At 51.5% G+C, this 21,913-nt stretch overlaps 1 protein-coding gene across 1 annotated transcript, besides 8 other annotated features; it reads right to left on the bottom strand.

Annotated features, from left to right (window-relative positions):
• Positions 60-831: an enhancer, noted in NCBI's record as "H3K27ac hESC enhancer chr19:4246137-4246908 (GRCh37/hg19 assembly coordinates)". NCBI's record gives its function as "activates a minimal SCP1, AML or CMV promoter by ChIP-STARR-seq in naive H9 embryonic stem cells {active_cell/tissue: H9 hESC(naive)}" and the evidence as "EXISTENCE:reporter gene assay evidence [ECO:0000049][PMID:30033119]".
• Positions 162-301: an enhancer, noted in NCBI's record as "active region_13765". NCBI's record gives its function as "activates an Ori minimal core promoter by ATAC-STARR-seq in GM12878 lymphoblastoid cells {active_cell/tissue: GM12878}" and the evidence as "EXISTENCE:reporter gene assay evidence [ECO:0000049][PMID:35858748]".
• Positions 4,195-4,294: an enhancer, noted in NCBI's record as "active region_13764". NCBI's record gives its function as "activates an Ori minimal core promoter by ATAC-STARR-seq in GM12878 lymphoblastoid cells {active_cell/tissue: GM12878}" and the evidence as "EXISTENCE:reporter gene assay evidence [ECO:0000049][PMID:35858748]".
• Positions 4,445-4,494: an enhancer, noted in NCBI's record as "active region_13763". NCBI's record gives its function as "activates an Ori minimal core promoter by ATAC-STARR-seq in GM12878 lymphoblastoid cells {active_cell/tissue: GM12878}" and the evidence as "EXISTENCE:reporter gene assay evidence [ECO:0000049][PMID:35858748]".
• Positions 4,673-4,873: a silencer, noted in NCBI's record as "peak3276 fragment used in MPRA reporter construct". NCBI's record gives its function as "represses an SCP1 promoter by STARR-seq MPRAs in K562 erythroleukemia cells {active_cell/tissue: K562}" and the evidence as "EXISTENCE:reporter gene assay evidence [ECO:0000049][PMID:32103011]".
• EBI3 (Epstein-Barr virus induced 3) lies at positions 9,443-17,448 on the bottom strand. Its single transcript, NM_005755.3, has 5 exons — positions 17,354-17,448; positions 15,648-15,780; positions 13,664-13,842; positions 12,147-12,304; positions 9,443-10,035 (listed from the first exon to the last, which is right to left on the bottom strand). Exons 1-5 carry the CDS (start codon positions 17,418-17,420, stop codon positions 9,883-9,885), a joined length of 690 nt encoding a protein of 229 aa, NP_005746.2. The 5' UTR covers positions 17,421-17,448; the 3' UTR covers positions 9,443-9,882.
• Positions 15,674-16,175: an enhancer, noted in NCBI's record as "H3K27ac hESC enhancer chr19:4230793-4231294 (GRCh37/hg19 assembly coordinates)". NCBI's record gives its function as "activates a minimal SCP1, AML or CMV promoter by ChIP-STARR-seq in primed H9 embryonic stem cells {active_cell/tissue: H9 hESC(primed)}" and the evidence as "EXISTENCE:reporter gene assay evidence [ECO:0000049][PMID:30033119]".
• Positions 17,139-17,228: an enhancer, noted in NCBI's record as "active region_13762". NCBI's record gives its function as "activates an Ori minimal core promoter by ATAC-STARR-seq in GM12878 lymphoblastoid cells {active_cell/tissue: GM12878}" and the evidence as "EXISTENCE:reporter gene assay evidence [ECO:0000049][PMID:35858748]".
• Positions 20,263-20,463: a silencer, noted in NCBI's record as "peak3273 fragment used in MPRA reporter construct". NCBI's record gives its function as "represses an SCP1 promoter by STARR-seq MPRAs in K562 erythroleukemia cells {active_cell/tissue: K562}" and the evidence as "EXISTENCE:reporter gene assay evidence [ECO:0000049][PMID:32103011]".

The following is a 21,913-nucleotide window of genomic DNA, read 5'->3' as shown; positions in this document are numbered from 1 at the left end:
AGTCCCAGCGTCTTCCCTCCGGAGTTGCAACCTGAGTAGCGCGAAATAAGGATTCCGGGAGCCATGTGGAATTGGAGAATTTTGTATAGTGCGCTGCGCCCCCTAGAAGCGGGCAGCGGCTCGTTAAAATTTTGTAACGTGACCTCTTGTTCTTCATTCTTTTATTCAGCAAATATGTATTATGCGCCTGCCTTGTATTCTGGGCTCTGGGAATCCACACATCGTTCCTGGGCCCGCAACTCTCACATGGGGTTGGGGCCACACATAGGGTGACTTAAGAGGACCCTGGACGACTCTTGAGTCACAGACATTGACTTAAAGATCAGGCTCCAAACCAACTTCCTAAACATACGCAGTGTCTCCCAAATGTCCCTCCATTGCCCACCTGTGCCTTCCCCTTAACGAGGACTTCCCATCCCATTCCTTCCCCAGCCTCCTTCCCCAGCCTCCTCCCCACCTTTCATGGACGTTTCCTCTGTGTCAGATTGTTCCAGGAAAGGGGTCCGGATCCAGACCCCAGGAGAGGGTTCTTGGATCTCGTGCAAGAAGGAATTCAGGGCGAGTCCACAGTGCAAAGCAAAAACAAGTTTATTTAGAAAGTAGATGAATAAAAGAATGGCTACTTCACAGACAAAGCAGCCCCAAGGGCTGGTGGTTGCCCATGTTTATGGTGATTTATTGATGATATGCTAAACAAGGGGTGGATTATTCATACCTCCCTTTTTTAGACCATATAGGGTAACTTCTTGATGTTGCTGTGGCAATTGTTTGTTTATTTATTTATCTTTTGAGGAGTCTTGCTCTGTTGCCCAGGCTGACGGGCAGTGGTGCGATCTTGGCTCACTGCAACCTCTGCCTCCAGTGGTGCGATCTTGGCTCACTGCAACCTCCACCTCAGGATTCAAGTGATTCTCCTGTCTCAACCTCCCGAGTAGCTGGGATTACAGGCACGCACCACCACACCTGCCTAATTTTTGTAGTTTTAGTAGAGATGGGGTTTCACCATTTTGGCCAGGCAGGTCTCGAACTCCTGACCTCAGGTGATCTGCTCGCCTCTGCCTCCCAAAGTGCTGGGATTACAGGCATGAGCCACTGCACCTGGCCAAAAATCAACTCCATCTTAAAATTAACAAGGCACATTCGCTGCCAGTCACGAGCCAGGGTCATAAGATGTTTACAATTGAGAAAACGTCTTACAAATGCCTAGGAGGACACACTACTACAACAATGGAAGGTCCAGATGTCCTGATATTGCATAGCAATGTATGCTTTTAAGATCGTTATAGTCGCCAGGCGCGGTGGCTCATGCCTGTAATCCCAGCACTTTGGGAGGCCAAGGAGGGTGGATCACCTGAGGTCAGGAGTTCGAGACCAGCCTGGTCACCATGGCCACCATGGTGGAACCCCATCTCTACTAAAAATACAAAAATTAGCCGGGCGTGGTGGCGGGAACCTGTAATCCCAGCTACTTGGGAGGCTGAGGCAGGAGAATTGCATGAACCCAGGAGGCTGAGGTTGCAGTGAACTGAGATCGAGATTGTGCCGCTGCCCTGTGGCCTGGGCGACAGAGTGAGACTCCATCTCAAAAAAAAAAAAAAAGAGAAAAAAAAGAAAAAGATACCGGGCATGGTGGCTTACGCCTGTAATCCCAGCACTTTGGGAGGCCGACGTGGGCGAATCACCTGAGGTCAGGAGTTCAAGACCAATCAGACCAACACGGAGAAACCCCGTCTCTACTAAAAATGCAAAATTAGCCAGGTGCGGTGGTGCAGGTCGAGAGTTCAAGACCAACCAGACCAACATGAAGAAATCTTGTCTCTACTAAAAATACAAAATTAGCCGGGCATGGTGGTGCATGCCTGTAATCCCAGCTGCTTGGGAGGCTGAGGCAGGAGAATCACTTGAACCTGGGAGGCAGAGGTTGCGGTGAGTCGATATGGCGCCATTGCACTCCAGCCTGGGTGACAAGAGTGAAACTCCATCTCAAAAAAAAAAAAAGAAAATATGGTTATAGTCATGGTGTAATGTACTTAGGCACTAAAATGGCAAGGATATGTATGTATACTTTTTGAGACAGGGTCTCGCTCTGTCACCTAGGCTGGAGTGCAGTAACGCAATCATGGCTCTCTGTGGCCTCCACTTCCCGGCTCAGGCGATCCCCCACCTCAGCCTTCCGAGTTAGCTGGAACTATAGGTACCACCACACCTGGCTAATATTTGGCAGTTTTTGTAGAGACAGGGTTTCGCCATGTTGCCCAAGCTGGTCTGGAAATCCTGGGCTGAAGTGATCTGCCGGCCTCGGCCTACCAAAGTGTTACAATTACAGGTGTGAGCCACTGCACCCAGCCAGGATAACTTTCTTTAAGTCGACAAAGTACTACGTTTTGTCACGCGGTCAGCCCACCTACACGTGGACATAGCTTTCACACAGATAAGACCCCTATATAAGAAAAAACCGGTTGTACATGGTGGCTCACACCTGTAATCCCAACACTTTGGGAGGCCGAGGTGGGAGGATCACTTGAGCTCAGGAGTTCAAGGCCAGCCTGGCCAACACGGTAAAACCTCGTCTCTACTAAAAATATAAAAATTAGCTGGGCGCAGTGGTACATGCCTGAATCCCAACTACTCAGGAGACTGAAGCAGGAGAATCGCTTGAACCTGGCAGGTGGAGGTTGCAGTGAGCCAAGATCGTGCCAAGATCGTGCCATTGTACCTGGGTGACAGAGCAAGACTCCATCTCAAAAATAAATCAATAAATAAAATAAAAATAAAAACCTTAAAACAAAGACAAGGCGTTCCTCCTCTTGTTTTCTGAGGACGCCCTACTTTGTAACTGAGTAGCCTTCCTTTTTTTTTTTTTTTTTTTTTTTTTTTGAGGAGTTTTGCTCTTGTTGCCCGGGCTGGAGTGCAATGGTACAATCTCGGCTCACCGCAACCTCCGTCTCCCAGGTTCAAGCTATTCTCCTACCTCAGCCTCCCAAGTAGCTGGGATTAAAAGCATGTGCCACCACGTCCGGCTAATTTTGTATTTTTAGTAGAGACGGGGTTTCTCCATGTTGGTCAGGCTGGTCTTGAACTCCTGAGGTGTTCAAGAGGTGATCCACCCACCTCAGCCTCCCAAAGTGCTGGGATTACAGGTGTGAGCCACCACACCCAGCTAGGGACCCCTTTTCCTGGCACCAGGAAGACAATAATATGGGACAAGGAATGGTGTTAAATAAAGTTTACAGGAAGCCATGGGTTTGGACTGAGCTCCTGCACTAGGCCCAAAAGACTAAACCAAAATGAAGTCCCTCATGCGGAAGTTTTACACCAAGCTGAAACTAAGTTGTTTTTCTGGTTTTCCAAGAAATCGAGAACTGGAAGGAAGTGGGGAGAGAGAGAGAGAGAGGGAGAGAGAGAAAGAGAGGGAATAGTCAAATCCATGAACAGAGGCAGGCAGATCACCTGAGCTCGGGAGTTCAAGACCAGCCTGGCCAACATGGCGAAACCCCGTTTCCACTAAAATACAAAAAATTAGCGGGGTGCGGTGGTGGGTGCCTGTAATCCCAGCTACTTGGGAGGCTGACTCACGAGAATTGCTTGAACCTGGGAGGCGGAGATTGCAGTGAGCCCAGATCATGCCACTGCACTCCAGCCTAGGCAACAGAACCAGATTCTGTCTCAAAAAAAAAAAAAAAAAGGCCAGGCACTGTGGCTCATGCCTGTAATCCCTGCACTTTGGGAGGCGGGTGGATAACGAGGTCAGGAGATTGAGACCATCCTGGCCAACATGGTGAAACCCTGTCTCTACTAAAAATACAAAGATTAGCTGGGCAGGGTGGCACACGCCTGTAGTCCCAGCTACTTGGGAGGCTGAGGCAGGAGAATCGCTTGAACCCGGGAGGTGGAGGCTGCAGTGAGCCAAGATTGTGCCACTACACTCCAGCCTGGGTGACAGAGCGAGACTGTCTCAAAAAAAAAAAAAAAAAAAAATCCCTGAACAGGCCTGTTTTAGCCAGCACGATAGTCTCCTTTGCTCTAAACTTGACAAGAAAAGTAACTTTGAAAAGACCAATCCACTTTTTGTTTTCTATTTCTGCTTTACTCAGCCTTTTTCTGTCTATAAAACCAACCTCTTTTTCAGTGAGCTGAGATCACCACTGCACTCCAGCCTGGGCAACAAGAGTGAAACTCCGTCTCAAAATAAATAAATAAAACCTGCTTTGCAAAAGTGGAAGGTTTGGCCGGGCATGGTGCCTCATTCCTGTAATCCCAGCACTTTGGGAGGCTGAGGCGGGTTGATCATGAGGTCAGGAGTTCAAGACCAGCCTGGCCAACATGGGGAAACCCCATCTCTACTAAAAATACAAAAATTAGCCGGGTGTGATGATGGGCACCTGTAGTCCCAGCTACTTGGGAGGCAGAGGCAAGAGAATCATTTGAATCCAGGAGGCGGAGGTTACAGTCAGCCAAGACCACGCCACTGCCCCCCAGCCTGGGTGACAGAGAGAGACTCTGTCTCGGGAAAAAAAAAAAATGGAAGGTTTAACAGACTTTAAAAAAGAAAGAAAAAGAACCCCTAATGTTGTCTGCTCAGCTCATGGAAACATTCTGAAACTGGTCCAATTGTTCCATAAAACGAATACTTATGATTATTTGAATAAACACAGAAATGGATCCTCCCTAGTCTTAAAACTTGAAACTTACATTTGTCTCATCTCAGTTCCTTCCTCAGGAAACTGACCATCAGGCAAGGAACTGAAACTCATCAGATCATCACATCCAGACAATGAGAGGCCAGACCCCATCATCCATCAAGATTACTTCCTTAACACCCTCCCTGAATTTGTTTTCTCCCATTCCCCAGCTATATAAACTCCCCAATTTTAGTTGGTCAGGGAGACATATGAGACTTTACCACCCCTTCTCATTGACTGCAGCGGCAGGATAAAGCATTCCTCCCTGGCAATCCTTGTTGCCTCGGTGATTGGCTTTCTGCGCAGAGGGCAGCAAGACCTAGACCAAACACCTGGTGTTTTAGTAGCTAATTCGATTTGATGAAATGAGGTGTTGCCTGATTCCAGAATTGCAAAGAAAACCCAATTCAGATCTCTGAACTATATAGGTTGCAGCATTTTTGTTTTGTTTTGTTTTGAGATGCAGTCTTACTGTGTTGCTCAGGCTAGAGTGCAGTGACGCGATCTCAGCTCACCACAGCCTCCACCTCCCGAGTTCAAGTGACTCTCCTGCCTCAGCCTCCCAAGTCACTGGGGCCACAGGCGTGTGCCACGCCCAGCTAATTTTTGTATTTTTAGTAGAGACGGGGTTTCACCATGTTGGCCAGGCTGGTCTGGAACTCCTGAGCTCAAGTGATTCACCTGCCTCAGCTTCTCAAAGTGCTGGGATTACAGGCATGAGCCTCTGCACCTGGCCAAGGTTGCAGCTTTATCTTTTGACCATGGATAGTGATGGAAAGGGTCAATTGTAGGTGATGCTTGAGGGGCCTATGGCTGTTGTAACAATTGACCACCAACTCAGTGTCTGAAAACAACATGCATTTGTTTTATTTATTTATATTTTTTTCTGAGACACGTCTTGCTTTTTCACCTAGGGTGGAGTGCGGTTCTATGATCATAGTCACTGCAGCCTCAAGCTCCCAGACTCAGAGATCCTCCCACCTCAGCCTCCCAAGTGGCTGGGACTAAAAGTGCATGCCACCATGCCCAGCTAAATTTTAAATTTTTTTTTGAGAGACAGGGTCTTGATATGTTGCCATGGCTGGTCTAGTACTCCTGGGGTCAAGTGATCCTCCCACCTTAGCCTCCCAAAATGTTGGGATTATAGACATGAGCCACTGCCTCTGCCCGACACACATTTATTATAGTTTTACAGGTCAGAAATAAAAAATGGACTGAGCATGGTGGCTCATCAGCCCTGTAATTCCAGTACTTTGGGAGGCCAAGGTGAGAGGATTGCTTGAGACTAGGAGTTGGAATCTAGTCTGAGGAACATGGTGAGACCCCATCCCTATTAATCTTTTTTTTTTGAGACGGGGTCTCACTGTCTCACCCAGGCTGGAGTGCAGTGGCACAATCATAGCTTATTGAAGCCTCAACCTCCTGGGCTCAGGCAATCCTCCTGCCTCAGCCTCCAGAGTAGCTGGGACCACAGGCATGTACCACCATGCCTGCCTAACTTTTGTATTTTTTGTAGAGATGGGGTCTCACTATGTTGCCCAGGCTGGTCTCAAACTCCTGAGCTCAAGCAATTCAGCCGCCTCAGCCTCACAAAGTGCTGGGATTACAAGCGTAAGCCACTGTGCCTGGCATCTATTAAATTTTTTAGAAATACTTGTTTTTTCTTTTTTTTTTTTTGAGAAGGAGTCTCACTGTCTCCCAGGCTGGAGTGCAGTGGCACGATCTAAGGCTCACTGCAAGCTCCGCCTCCCAGGTTCACGCCATTCTCCTGCCTCAGCCTCCCAAGTAGCGGGCACTACAGGCGCCTGCCTCCATGCCCAGCTAATTTTTTTAATTGTATTTTTAGTAGAGACAGGGTTTCACCGTGTTCACCAGGATGGTCTTGATCTCCTGACCTCGTGATCTGCCCGCCTCAGCCTCCCAAAGTGCTGGATTACAGGCGTGAGCCACCGTGCCTGGCTTTTTTTTTTTTTTTTTTTTTGAAATGGAGTCTTTCTCTGTTACCCAGGCTGGAGTGCAGAGATGTGATCACAGCTCACTGTAGCCTCTTCCTCCTGGACTCAAGAGATTCTGCCACTTTGGCCTCCCAAGTAGCTGGAACTATAGCTGTGAGCCACCAAGCCCAGCTAATTTTTAATTTTTTTTTTTTTTGAGACGGAGTCTCGCTCTGTTGCCAGGCTGGGGTGCAGTGGTACGATCTCGGCTCACTGCAACCTCCCCCTCCCAGGTTCAAGCGATTCCCCTGCCTCAGCCTCCCGATTAGCTAGGACTACAGGCATATGCCACCATGTCTGGCTAATATTTTTTTGTATTTTAGTAGAGACAGGGTTTCACCATATTGGCCAGGCTGGTCTCGAACTCCTGACCTTGTGATCTGCCCACCTGGGCCTCCCAAAGTACTGGGATTACAGGCGTGAGCCACTGAGCCCGGCTAATTTTTTTTTTTTTGAGACAGGGTCTTGCTCTGTTGCCCAGGCTGGAGTACAGTGGTGAGATCATAGCTCACTGCAGCCTTGATCTCCTGGGCTCAAGAGATCCTCCCACCTCAGTCTCCTGATTAGCTGGGACTATGGGCACGCGACATCACACCTGGCTAACTTATTTTATTATTTTATTTTTATTTTATTTTATTTTATTACTATTTTTTTTTTTGAGACAGTCTCGCTCTGTTGCCCAGGCTGAAGTGCAGTGGTACGATCTCGGCTCACTGCAACCTCCGCCTCCCGGGTTCAAGTGATTCTTCTGCCTCAGCCTCCCGAGTAGCTGGAGCTACAGGTGTGTGCCACAACGCCTGGCTAACTTTTGCATTTTTTAGTGGAGACAGGGTTTCACCATATTGGTCAGGCTGGTCTCGAACTCCCCACCTCGTGATCCACCCACCTCGGCCTCTCAAAGTGCTGGAATTACAGGCATGAGCCACCATGCCTGGCCTATTTTATTTTTTTAGAGATGGGGGTCTCACTATGTTGCCCAGGTTGGTCTGGAGCTCTTGGCCTCAAGCAATTCTCCTGCCTTGGCCTCACAAAGTGTTGGGATTACAGGCGTGAGCCACTGCGCCCGGCCCATTTTCATTAATTTGATGAAAGATCTTTCATCTTTAAAGACCTTTGAGATTATTAATGTAATCACTCCTATAAAGTTCCTTTGGCTGCATCAGGCAAAATACTCATGAGCTCTGGAGATTGGGACATGGATGTCTTTGCGGGATTGGGGAGTGTTACTCTACCTGCCACAGATGGGGTAGTCAGGGAAGGCTTCTCGGAGGAGGTGACTTTTGACTGGAGACCCAGGTGGAACCCACAGACAAGCCCAAGGCTGTTTCTCTCTCCTTCAGGGCCTGGCTGCCTTCCTTGCCCACTGTTCAGTTAAATCTCCCCAGAGCCACTCATACCTTATTGGTGTCTATCCTCAATGAGGCTGACATCTGGGCGAACCAACCTAACTGCTAATCTGAATGGATTCTTAATGGATTCTTTTTTTTTTTTTTTTTTCCGAGATCGAGTCTCGCTCTGTCACCCAGGCTGGAATGCAGTGGCGCGATCTTGGCTCACTGCAACCTCCACCTCCTGGGTTCAAGCAATTCTTCTGCCTCAGCCTCCCGAGTAGCTGGGACTACAGGCGGATACCCACGCCTGGCTAATTTTTTGTATTATTATTTTTAGTAGAGATGGGGTTTCACCATCTTAGCCAGGCTGGTCTTGAACTCCTGACCTTGTGATCCACCCGCCTCAGCCTCTCAAAGTGCTGGGATTACAGACGTGAGCCACCGCACCTGCCCCTGAATGGATTCTACTGTCCCACTCCAGGCGGAATCCCTGCCACCCCACCCTGGCATCCCCAGGCCCATGACGTCCCCTGGTCCAGCCCTGACACTATGGGAGTGGGGATTTGTGGTTTCTGTGTCCTTTGGTTTAGGGCTAAGTCCTCGCTGGATCTCCTCTAAGTGAAAAGAGGAGTCTTCATTTCCTTATTTTTTTCAGACGGAGTCTTAGTCACCCCATCGCCCAGGCTGGAGTGCGATGGCGCGATCTCAGTTCACTGCAACCTCTGCCTCCCGGGTTCAAGCAATTCTCCTGCCTCAGCCTCCCGAGTAGCTGGAATTATAGGCACCCACCACCACGCCTGGCTAATTTTTGTATTTTCAGTCGAGACAGGGTTTCACCATGTTGGCCAGGCTGGTCTTGAACTCCTGACCTCAAGTGATCCACCTGCCTTGGCCTCCCAAAGTGCTGAGATTACAGGCGTGAGCCACCATACCCAGCTGGAGTCTTCATTTCAACTATTATTTTTTTTGTTTTTGTTTTGAGACGGAGTCTTGCTCTGTTGCCCAGGCTGGAGTGCAGTGGTGCAATCTCAGCTCACTGCAACCTCCGCCTCCCAGGTTCAAGCGATTCTCCTGCCTTAGCCTCCTGAGTAGCTGGGGTTACGGGCTCAGGCCACCATGCCCAGCTAATTTCTGTATTTTTAGTAGAGACCGGGTTTCACCATGTTGGTCAGGCTGGTCTCGAACTCCTGACCTCGTGATCTGCCCGCCTCGGCGTCGGGATTACAGGCGCGAGCCACCGCACCCGGCCTCAACTATGATTAAAACAAACAAACAAACAAACAAAAAAACCAGGGTCTTGCTCTGTTGCCCAGGCATGAAGGCAGTGGTGTGACGACAGCTCACTGCAGCCTTAACCTCCTGGACTCAAGTGATCCTCCCACCTCAGCCTCCCAAGTAGTTGGGACTGTGGGCGCGCAACATCACACCTGGCTAATTTATTTTATATTTATATTAATTTTTTAGAGATGGGGTCTTGCTGTGTGGCCCGGACTGGTTTCGAGCTCCTGGCCTCAAGCTACCCTCCCACGTCGGCTTCCCAGTGACTGGGATTACAGGTGCGATCCACTGCGCCCAGCCCAACAACAATTCTTTTCTAATTAAACAATAAAAAATATCTCACAGTGACAGTTCAGTCAGCCCTGCACTGTGGTAAAGGTAAAGGTAAAGGAGAGAGTAGTACATCTCCATTTCTCAGCTAGAGAAACTGAGGCTCAAAGGGAAAAGTCGGTCATCTGAGGTTGCCCGGCAGCTCAGCAGCAGCAAAGCAAGGACTCCAGCCCAGGCTAGGCAGATCCCATCCGCCCTCCAACAGGTGTCCCGGGGCTTAGGGTGGCGAGGACCCAGGTGCTGTCTGGAGGCAGCGGGAAGCCCTTGCTACTTGCCCAGGCTCATTGTGGCAGTGGCGGGGAGACTCCAGTCACTCAGTTCCCCGTAGTCTGTGAGGTCCTGAGCCGCCACTTGGACGTAGTACCTGGCTCGGGGCCGCACAGCCCTGAGGATGAAGGACGTGGCTTCAATGGGCCCCACCTGAGAGAAGAGAGAGCGTCAGGTCACTAGAACCAGAAGATGGAGAGGGGCCACTGTGCACAGAACCACACAACGGAGCGTGCAGTCCTCCCTGCCCCCTGCAGGCTCCAGTCCAGGACTCTGGCCCCAGCTGTGCGGCCCCACCCCAAATAGCATCATGGGCTCCTCCCAATCCCGGCCTCTGTCTGTGTGGCCCCCAGAGCCACCTCTCTTACGAATCCTTCCTGGACCACACTAGCCCCTGTGGATGTCTCACCCAGGAGGGTCTTTGTTCATCAGGACATCCCTGATCCCTATAATCCTCTTCTTTCTCCTCCCTGGGACTAAACCAGGACCTCTGGGATAGGACCCCATACCTCCCTTTACCCCTGGTCCCACTATATTAACCATGCTTTTTTTTTTTTTTTTTTTTTTTTTGAGACAGTCTTACTCTGTTGCCCAGGCTGGAGTGCAGTGGGGCAATCTTGGCTTACTGCAACCTCTGCCTCCAGGCTCAAACCATCCTCTCACGTCAGCCTCCCAGATAGCTGGGATTACAGGCGCCCGCCACCATGCCTGGCTAATTTTTGTTTGTTTGTTTTTGAGACGGAGTCTCACTCTGTCACCCAGGCTGGAGTGCAGTGGCATGATCTCAGCTCACTGCAACCTCCACCTCCCGGGTTCAAGCCATTCTCCTGCCTCAGCCTCCTGAGTAGCTGGGATTACAGGCGCCCGCCACCACACCCGGCTAATTTTTGTATTTTTAGTAGAGCTGTGATTTCACCATGTTGGTCAGGCTGTTCTCGAATTCCTGACCTCGTGATCTGCCTGCCTCAGCCTCCCAAAGTGCTGGGATTACAGGCATGAGCCACCGCGCCAGGCCAATTTTTGTATTTTTAATAGAGATGGGGTTTCACCTGACCTCAAGTGATCTGCCTGCCTTGGCCTCCTAAAGTGCTGGGATTTCAGGCATGAGCCACTGCACCTAGCCTAACCGTGCTTTTTATTTTATTTAATTTATTTAAGTTGGGAGACAGAGTCTCTCTCTGTTACCCAGGCTGGAAGGCAGTGGTGCCAACACGGCTCACTGCAGCCTCAATCTTCCAGGCCCAAGTGATCCTCCCACCTCAGCCTCTTGTAACTGGGGGTACAGGTGTGTGTCACCACACCCAACTAATGTTTAAATTTTTTGTAGAGATGGGAGTCTCACTATGTTACCCAGGCTGGTCTCCAACTCCTGGACTCAAGCAATCCTCCCAACTTGGCCTCTCAAAGTGCTGGGATTACAGGTGTGAGCCACCCTGCCCAGCCAGAATTGTTCACTTTAAAATGGCTAATTCTGGCCAGATGAAGTCCTCACACCTGTAGTCCCAACACTTTGGGAGGCCCAGGCAGGTGGATCACCTAAGCTCCGTAGTTTGAGACCAGCCTGGGCAACATGGCAAAATCCCATCTCTACTGAAAATACAGAAATTAGCCGGGCGTGGTGGGCGCCTGTAGTCCCAGCTATTCAGGAGGCTGAGGCAGGAGAATCACTTGAACCTGGGAGGCGGAGGTTTCAGCGAGCCAAGATCGCGCCACTGCACTCCAGCCTGGGTGACAGAGCTAGACCTTGTTTCAATCAATCAATCAATAAAGTGAACAATTCGGTGGCTCACGCCTGTAATCCCAGCACTTTGGGAGTCCGAGGCAGGCAGATCACCTGAGATCAGAAGTTCGAGACCAGCCTGGCCAACATGATGAAACCCCATCTCTACTAAAAATACAAAAATTAGCCGGGCATAGTGGCACGTGCCCGTAATCCCAGCTACTCCAGAGGCTGAGGCAGGAGCATCGCTTGAACCTGGGAGGCGGAGTTTGCAGTGAGCCGAGATTGTGTCACTGCCTGGGCGACAGAGCGAGACTCTGTCTCAAAACAATAACAACAAAAACGGGTGTGCGACAGCTTGTGCAAGTCCCTGCTTTCCATCCTTTTCGGTAGAGGCCTAGGAATCAGATTGCTGGACTGCTCTTATTCAATGCACCCGGAATCGCAAGCTATGTGCAAGAGCCCAGCACACCTGCTAGTCTTGGTAAAAACCATTCCCTCTGCCAGGCACCACCCTTTCCAGCCTCCCCCTCATCCTCCTCACCCGGTGGAAGCGCGCAGCTCCCTGACGCTTGTAACGGATCCAGTACTTCAGTGAGAAGATCTCTGGGAAGGGCCAGGACCCGGGAGGCTCCCACTGCACCTGTAGCTGGCGCTCAGCGAGGGGGCTTAGGCGCACGCCTTCTGGAGGGTCGGGCTTGACTGACGGACAAGCAGGAAGCAGGGTCAGGGGACAGTAAGTCCAGTCATTCATTCATTCACTCATTCATTCAACCAACATATTATGTATATATTTTGTTTGTTTTGAAACGGAGTCTCACTCTGTCACCCAGGCTGGAGTACAGCGGCGTGATCTCAGCTCACTACAACCTCTGCCTCCCAGGTTCAGGCGATTCTCCTGCCTCAGCCTCCCGAGTAGTTGTGAGCCACCATGCCTGGCTCAACCAACAAATATTTATTGAGAAACTGTGTGCCTGGGGCTGCCACAGAGGGGACAAAACAGTGACCTTAACTGACCTACCCCTGTCCTCATGGAACTCACAATCCATCAGGGGGAAGACAGGAAATAAACAAATCCATAGGTCACACAGAATAGGGAAGAAAGCTGGGGAGTGCAGGAATGGCAGTGGCCGCAATTTTTGTTTTGTTTTGTTTTGTTTTTTGAGATAGAGTCTCGCTCTCTCGCCCAGGCTGGAATGCAGTGGCACAATCTCAGCTCACGGCAACCTCCACCTCCTGGGTTCAAGTGATTCTCGTGCCTCAGCCCCCTGAGTAGCTGGGATTACAGGCACCTGCCACTATGCCCAGCTAATTCTTGTATTTTTAGTAGAGGCAGGGTTTCACCATGTTGGCCAGGACTGGTCTCAAACTCCTGACCTCAGGTGATCGGCCTGCCTCAGCCTCCCAAAGTGCTGGGATTACAAGTGTGAGCCACTGAGCCTAGCCAGAGCTTGCAATTTTTAATAATCTACTCAGGAGAGGTCTTACTGAGGAGGTGATGTATGCACAGAGACCCGAAGGAGGTGAGGGAATAAGTCATGGGGACATTTGGGGGAAGGTGTTCCAGGTAGAGGGCACCGCCCATGCAAAGGCCCTGGGGCAGAACTATTCCTGGCATGTTGAACATCAAGGAATCACATGTGGCCACAGCAGAGTGAGCAAGGGGGAGACAGGGAGGAGGGGAGGGCATGGAGGAGACAGGGCAGGTTGTCCAGGGTTTGGTGGGCAGTAGGAAGGACTTGGGCTTTGACCCCAAGGCAGGTGGGAGCCATGGAGGGCTGTAGGCAGAGGGACGTGCCCTGACTCAGGTGCTCTCAGGCGCCCTCTGGTGGCTGCTGTGGGAAGGACAGACTGTGGAGGCCAGGGCTCAGGATGGAGGGGACTGGGCTGTCAATGATGGGGGTGCTCCACGTACTGGTAGAGGAGGGGGAAGAAGGGGTCAGATTTTTGCTTAAGTGTGAAGGTGCAGCCGCAGGACTGGAGGACAGGTGGGAGGTGGGGTGGGGGGAGCTGGAAGGAGACGGCAGCCCCGCCCCCGCCCCCACTGCCGCCCCCACTCACTGATGTGCTCTGTTATGAAAGGCACGAAGCTGCTGCTGGAGCCCCAGGGGTGGACGGCGGTGACATTGAGCACGTAGGGAGCCATGGAGAACAGCTGGACATCCGTGATGGTGCAGCTGGTGGACGTTGGCGTCTGCTGCAGGCAGGGCCAGCTGTGGCCCCGGGCAGCCATGCCGAGCCTGCACAGGGTGGGGCTCGCTGAGCGCCTCAGGGAGTGCCTGTGGCCTCAGCACCTCCTACTGCCGGGCCTGACCCGGGACCCCAAGGAGAGGCAGGAACAGGAGGGGGCAGCGGATGGGGATCCCGGGGTGGGGTCCTGGTGGTGGCCGTGCCACCCCCCGGGGGCAGGGCATGGGCCCCAACATCACGGTGCCCCTGATGGTTCAGGTCGGGGATTACAACCCAAGCTAGATGCTAGGGTCCGGGATTCTAAAGGTTTCTGGGATGTCAGCATTCATTCATTCATCCATCCATTCATTCATTCATTCATCCGTTCATTCATTCATTAATTCATTCCTTCATTCATTCATTAATTCATTCCTTCATTCATTCATTAATTCATCCCTTCATTCATTCATTCATTCATGACAGGGTCTCCCTCTGGCGCCCAGGCTGGAGTGCAGTGGCATGATCCTAGCTCATTATAGCCTTGAACTCCTGGCTCAAGGGATCTTCCCTGTCTCAGCCTCCAGAGCGGTTGGGACTACAGGCACGCATCACCACTCTTGGCTAATTTTAAATTTTTTTTCTACAGATGGGGGGGGGTCTCAGTATGTTGCCCAGGCTGGTCTTGAACTTCTGGGCTCAAGTGATCCTCCCACCTCGGCCTCCCAAGTACCTGGGACTACAGATGTGTGCCATTACATCCAGCTAATTTTTTTGATTTTAAGTACAGACAGGATATTGCTATGTTGCCCAGGCTGGTCTCAAACTCCTGGGCTCAAGTGATCCTCCCACCTCAGCCTCCAGAGTAGCTGGGACTACAGGCAAGTACCAACATGCCCAGCTAATTTTTTTTTCTTTTTCGAAATTTTTTCTTTTCTTTTCTTTTCTTTTCTTTTCTTTTTTTTTTTTTTTTTTTTTTTGAGACGGGGTCTCACTCTATCACCAGGATGCAGTGCAGCGATGCAATATTGGCTCACTGCAACGTCCACCTCCTGGGTCAAGCAATTCTCCTGCCTCAGCCTCCCGAGTAGCTGGGACTACAGGCGCGTGCCATCACACCTGGCAAATTTTTGCATTTTTAGTAAAGACAGGGTTTCACCGTGTTCGCCAGGGTGGTCTCCATCTCCTGACCTTGTGATCCGCCCACCTCGGCCTCCCAAAGTGCTGGGATTACAGGCGTGAGCCACCGCGCCTGGCCATGCCCAGCTAATTTTAAAAATTGTTTTTAGAGACAGGGTCTCACTATTTTGCCCAAGCTGGACTCAAACTCCTGACCTCAAGTGATCCTCCCACATCAGCCTCCCAAAGTACTGGGATTACAGGCATGTGCCACTGTGCCCAACCCAGGAAGTAGTTTTTTTTTTTTTTTTTTGAGATGGAGTCTTGCTCTGTTGCCCAGGCTGGAGTGCAATGGTGCCATCTTGGCTCACTGCAACCTCCGCCTCCTGGGTTCAAGCTATTCTCCTGCCTCAGCCTCCGGAGTAGCTGGGATTACAGGCATGAGCCACTGCACCTGACCAATTTTTAAAATTTTTCGTAGAGACAGTGTCTCACTACGTTGCCCAAGCTGGTCTCAAACTCCTGACCTCAAGCAATCTGCCCACCTCGGCCTCCCAAAGCGCTGGGATTACAGGCATGCACCACTGTGCCTGGCCCAGAAAGTATATTTCTATTGGACGGGGCCGCCCTAGAATTCCATAGGCCTGGGGTTCAGGATGTCGGGGTCTCCAGTTTTCCTGACCCCAGGGCTCTCAGGGCCAGAGTTCTGGGCTCTCCAGGAAGTCCAGTGTCCCTGAGGCCCCCTTCCAGGCTCTCCGACCTGTACGTGGCAATGAAGGACACGGGGCTGGTGGAGTTTGGAGCAGGCGGCAGGGTCCAGGAGCAATCCACGGCGATCGGGTACCGAGAGGCTCGGCATTGCACCCGGGGCAGTGTCAGAGCTGCTGGGGGCCCTGGAGGAAGACAGAAAGAGTGAGCTTCTGGTTTACCCCCAGATTGTCATAGCCCTCCCGTGCGCTGGGCTCCTGCCACGTTGCCAGCCAGCACCAGGTACATGGTAGGTGCCTAATAAAGGCTTTCGGAATAAATAGGTACATGGACAAAAGTCATCTGTCATCTTTTATCCCCACTGCAATCCATCTAGGTGAGGACTACTAGCCCATTTTCCAGATAGGGAAGCTGAGGTTTAAGCATCTACAGAGAGGAACTCGGGTAAGAGAGAGAGATTTTACCGTGTTCTCTCTTTTGTAATTGTTTTTTTTTTTTAAAGAGGGAGTCTCCCTCTGTCGCCTAGGCTGGAGTGCAGTGGCGAGATCTCGGCTCACTGCCACCCCCGCCTCCCGGGTTCAAGCGATTCTTAGCCTCCCGAGTAGCTGGGATTACAGGCATGTACTGCCACGCTTGGCTAATTTTTGTATTTTTAGTAGAGAGGGAGTTTCACCATGTTGGCCAGGCTGGTCTCAAACTCCTGACCTCAGGTGATCCACCTGCCTTGGCCTCCCAAAGTGCTGGAATTACAGGCGTGAGCCACCAAACCCAGCCTATAAATTATTATTATTATTATTATTTTGAGACAAGGTATCCCACTCTGTCACCTAGGCTGGAATGCAGTGGCACAATCATAGCTCACTGCAGCCTCCAATTCCTGGGCTCAAATTATCCTCCCACCTCAGCCTCCCAAGTAGCTGGGACTACAGGCACGTGCCACCACATCTAGCTAATTTTTTAATTTTTTGTACAGATTGGTGGGGTCCGGTTTCACTATGTTGCCCAGGCTGGTCTCGAATTCCTGGCCTCACGATCCTCACGCCCTGGCCTCCCAAAGTGCTGGAATTACAGGCATGAGCCACCATGCCCTGCTGTAACCATTTTGTCTTCAAGGACATGGAGATGTTCTCTAGTGCAAAATGAATGAATGTCGGCCGGGCGCGGTGGCTCACATCTGTCATCCCAGCACTTTGGGAGCCCGAGGTGGGTGGATCACCTGAGGTCAGGAGTTCAAGACCACCCTGGCCAACATGGTAAAACCCTATCTCTACTAAAAATATAAAAAGTAGCCGGGCATGGTGGCGGGCACCTGTAATCCCAACTACTCGGGAGGCTGAGGGAGGAGAATCTCGCTTGAACCCAGGAGATGGAGGTTTCAGTGAGCTGAGATGGTGCCACTGTACTCCAGCCTGGGCGACAGAGTGAGACTCTGTCTCAAAAAACAAAACCAAAAAGAAACCAAAGGAATGAGTGTGACTCAAATTCGCATGTCTGTGTAGCTATGTCTGTGTAGCTCTATGGATACCTCTGAGCTGTGACTGCCAGTCCCTATCACCCACAAGGTGACATCCTTCCACCCCCAATGTGGCACTCTGCCTCTCTGTGCCTCAGTTCCTCCATCTGTACAATGGGAGGGTAACCCCATCCCACCATTGGGCACGGGAGGATGTGATTTCCCACCCCAGACATGATCCGAGGCCAGTCCTCGTGTCATGTCCGTCTGCCTGGGCCCCCCAGTCCCCCAGGGGCCCCACATACCTTTCCTTCCACTGCAGGGCGGGCAGCTGGCCCAGAGGACAAGGGCCAGGAGAAGCTGCGGGGTCATGGCTGCGGCCAGCTCTGCTCTCAGGAGTGGGTGGGAACGTCGTGGGAGACTTGAGAGGGGAGGTGAGGACTTGGGACCTGCCCAGGGGAAAGCCCAGCCCAGGGTCAAGGCCCGCCCCCTCCCCGACTTCCTTCAGGTCTGACTCACTGGTGGGGCTCGTGGGGCCGCTAGGGAGATGAATTAGGGTGTGGAGGAGCCCCAGCCCCCTGGGGAGCACAGGCCACCCCTGCTCGGAAGGCCCCGAGGGTGGGGGCGGGGGAGGAGGCTGTGAAAGGGAGAAGTGGAGACCTGCTGGCTTTTCCCAGCACAGCATGTCCTGCTGGCCTTCCTTCCGCTGCCCTGAAGCGGGGGAAACCCCAGGCAGGCAGGCAGGGGCTCAGGGACATGGAGGGAGACAGAGGCAGAGATGGGGGAGAGAGGCAGAGAGACAGAGAAGACAGAAGGAAGACACAGAGAGACAGGGAGATGACAGAGACAGAGACACAGAGAGAGACACAGATGAGAGAGGCAGAGAGACAGAGACAAGAAGAGGAGGACACAGAGATAGAGGGATACAGAGACAGGGAGATGACAGAGACAGAGACAGAGAGACACAGATGAAAGAGGCAGAGAGACAGAGACGAGAGGAGGAGGACACAGAGATAGACAGGGAGATGACAGAGAGACACAGAGACACAGATGAAAGAGGCAGAGAGAAAGAGACGAGAGGAGGAGGACACAGAGAGAGAGAGACAGAGACAGGGAGATGACAGAGACAGAGACAGAGAGAGACACAGATGAGAGAGGCAGAGAGAAAGACAAGAGGAAGAGGACAAAGAGATAGAGAGACAGGGAGACGACAGAGACAGAGAGAGATACAGATGAGAGAGACAGAGATGAGAGGAGGAGGACACAGAGATAGATAGAGACAGGGAGATGACAGACAGAGAAAGGGGCATGACAGAGACAGAAACACAGAGAGAGACACAGAGATGAGAAAGGCAGAGATGAGAGGAGGAGGACACGGAGATAGACAGGGAGATGACAGAGACAGAGACAGAGACAAAGATGAGAGAGTCAGAGAGACAGATGAGAGGAGGACACAGAGATAGAGGGATAGAGAGACAGGGAGATGACAGAGACAGAGAGAGCTACAGATGAGAGAGGCAGAGAGACAGATGAGAGGAGGACACAGAGATAGAGGGATAGAGAGACAGGGAGATGACAGAGAAAGTGACAGAGATACAGATGAGAGAGGCAGAGAGACAAATGAGAGGAGGACACAGAGATAGAGAGAGACAGAGACAGGGAGATGACAGAGACAGAGAGAGATACAGATGAGAGAGGCAGAGAGACAGAGACGAGAGGAGGAGGACACAGAGATAGAGAGACAGGGAGATGACAGAGACAGAGAAAGGGGGATGACAGAGACAGAAACACAGAGAGAGACAGAGATGAGAGGAGGAGGACACAGAGATAGATAGGGAGATGATAGAGACAGAGAGAGACAGGGGAATGAGAGAGACAGAGACAGAGATGAGAGGAGGAGGACACAGAGACAGAGAGAGACAGGGAGATGATGGAAACAGAAAGAGAAACACAGAGAGCAGACAGACAGAGGAAGAGAGACAGAGGGACAGAGATAAGAGAGGAAGACAGAGATAGGGAAATGAGAGAGACACAGAGACAGAGATAAGGGAGGAAGACAGAGAAAGAGAGACACAGATGGGAAGATGAGAGACAGAGACAGAGAGACAGAGATGAGAGAGTAGGATAGACAGAGATAGAGAGATGGTGGGGCACGGTGGCTCACGGCTGTAATCCCAGCACCTTGGGAGGCCAAGGCAGATGGATCACCTGAGGTTGGGAGTTCGAGACCAGCCTGACCAAAATGGTGAAACCCTGTCTCTACTAAAAATACAAAAATTAGCTGGGCGTGGTGGCAGGCACCTGTAATCCCAGCTACTCTGGAGGCTGAGGAAGGAGAATCACTTAAACCTGGGAGGCAGAGGTTGCAGTGAACCAAGATTACACCACTGCACTCCAGCCTGGGTGACAGAGTGAGACTCCATCTCAAAAAGAACAACAACAACAACAAAAAGACTGATGGGGCAATGACAGAGATGGAGAAAGAGAGACAAAAGAGAGACAGAAAGAAGACAGGAAGACAGAAATAGAGATACGGGGAGATGACAGACACAGAAAGAGAGACAGAGAGATAAGAGAAGACGACAGAGGGCCGGGTGTGGTGGCTCACGCCTCTAATCCCAGCACTTTGGGAGGCTGAGGCGGGCGGGTCACAAGGTCAGAAGTTCGAGACCAGCCTGGCCAATATGGTGAAACCCCGTCTCTACTAAAAATACAAGAATTAGCTGGGCGTTGTGGTGCGCACCTGTAATCCCAGCTACTTGGGACGCTGAGGTGGGAGAATCGCTTAAACCTGGGAGGCGGAGGTTGCAGTGAGAGGAGGTTGCAGTGAGCCGAGGTCACGCCACTGCACTCCAGCCTGGGAGATAGAGTGAGACTCTGTGTCAAAAAAAAAAAAAAAAAAAAAGGCTGAGCGTGGGGGCTCACACCTGTAATCCCAGCACTCTGGGAGGCCGAGGCGGGCGGATCACAAGGTCAGGAGATCAAGACCATCCTGGCTGACATGGTGAAACCCCGTCTCCACTAAAAATGCAAAAAAATTAGCCGGGCGTGGTGGCAGGCGCCTGTAGTCCCAGCTACTCAGGAGGCTGAGGCAGGAGAATGGTGTGAACCCGGGAGGCGGAGCTTGCAGTGAGCCGAGATGGCGCCACTGCACTCCAGCCCGGGCGACAGAGCCAGACTCCGTCTCAAAAAAAAAAAAAAAAGAAGACAGAGATAGAAAGAGACAGAGAGATGGGAGATGGGGACATGAGAGAGACAGAGACAGAGCAAAAGAAACACAGAGAGACAGAGATAAGAGAGGAGGAAGACACAGACAAAGACACAGGGAGACAGACAAAACAGCAAGACAGACAGATGGAGACCAAGAGATAGAGACAGAGACGTGGAGACTGGGTGCGGTGGCTCACGCCTGTAATCCCAGCACTTTGGGAGGCCAATATGGGTGGATCACCTGAGGTCAGGAGTCCGAGACCAGCCTGACTAACATGGTGAAACCCCGTCTCTACTAAAAATACAAAAATTAGCTGGGCATGGTGGCACGTGCCTGTAATCCCAGGTATTCCGGAGGCTGAGGCAGGGGAATTGCTTGAACCCGGGAGGTGGAGGTTGCAGAGAGCCGAGATCGCATCATTGCACTCTAGTCTGGGCAATAAGAGCGAAAATCTATCTCAAAAAAAAAAAAAGAGAGAGACAGAGACATGGAGAAGAGAGACAGAGAGAGACACAGGAGCGCAGGCCAGGGGAGGCAGCTGCCACCGCAGATATCCCAGCGATCAGGATGCCCAGGAACAAGGAAACCCCCAGGGGCAGGCTGGACAGGCTCGGGGATCCCCGCTCCCACTCCTGCCTCCCCTCTGTTTGCTGAAAAATGCCAAGAAACCCGTGGGGATTTCGGGGGAGTTGCCAAGGGGCAGGGAGAGGCTGGGGGTAGGGGGCTTCCACCATGGCCAGCCTTAGGATTTAGGAAAGTATCTTTCTTTCCTTTTTTTTTTTTTTTAAATCTTTTTTTAGAGGCAGGGTCTTGCCCTGTCACCCAGGCTGAAGTGCAACAGCCTCTAACTGCTGCACTCAAGCGGTCCTCCCTCCTCAGCCTCCTGAGTAGCTGTGACCACAAGTGCGCGCCACCATGCCCAGCTAATTTTTGTATTTTTGATAGAGATGGGGGTTTCCCCATGTTGCCCAGGCTGGTCTTCAACTCCTGGGCTCAAGAGATCCTCCCACATTGGTCTCCCAAAATGCTGGGATTATAGGCATGGGCCACCGCACCCGGCCAAGCCTGCCTTTCTTTAACATTTCCATACTTAGTTCAGCATGCACTTTTTTTGCACCCATTTTGCCTTTTTGAAATATTGCATTAAGATGGAGTTTATCCAAAGGCCGGGCACCATGGCTCATGCCTGTATTCCCAGCACTTTGGGAGGCCAAGGCGGATGGATCACCTGAAGTCAGGAGTTCGAGACCAGCCTGGCGAACATGGTGGAACCCTGTCTCTACTAAAAATACAAAAATGAGCCGGGTGTGGTGGCACATGCCTTGTAATCTTAGTTACTCGGGAGGCTGAGGCAGGAGAATCACCTGAACCCGGGAGGCAGAGGTTGTAGTGAGTCGAGATTACTCCACTGCACTCCAGCCTGGGTGACAGAGGGAGACTCCGCATAAAAAAAAATAAAAGAGGCCAGGTGCGGTGGCTCAAGCCTGTAATCCCAGCACTTTGGGAGGCCAAGGCGGGTGGATCATGAGGTCAGGAAATTGACCATCCTGGCTAACATGGTGAAACCCGTCTCTACTAAAAATATAAAAAATTAGCCGGGCGTGGTGGCGGGCGCCTGTAGTCCCAGCTACTTGGGAGGCTGAGGCAGGAGAAT

Source organism: Homo sapiens, chromosome 19 (assembly GCF_000001405.40).
Source record: "Homo sapiens chromosome 19, GRCh38.p14 Primary Assembly".
Taxonomy (NCBI): domain Eukaryota; kingdom Metazoa; phylum Chordata; class Mammalia; order Primates; family Hominidae; genus Homo; species Homo sapiens.
The sequence above is the reverse complement of the archived record's forward strand: the minus strand, read 5'-3'. Positions and strand labels throughout refer to the sequence as shown.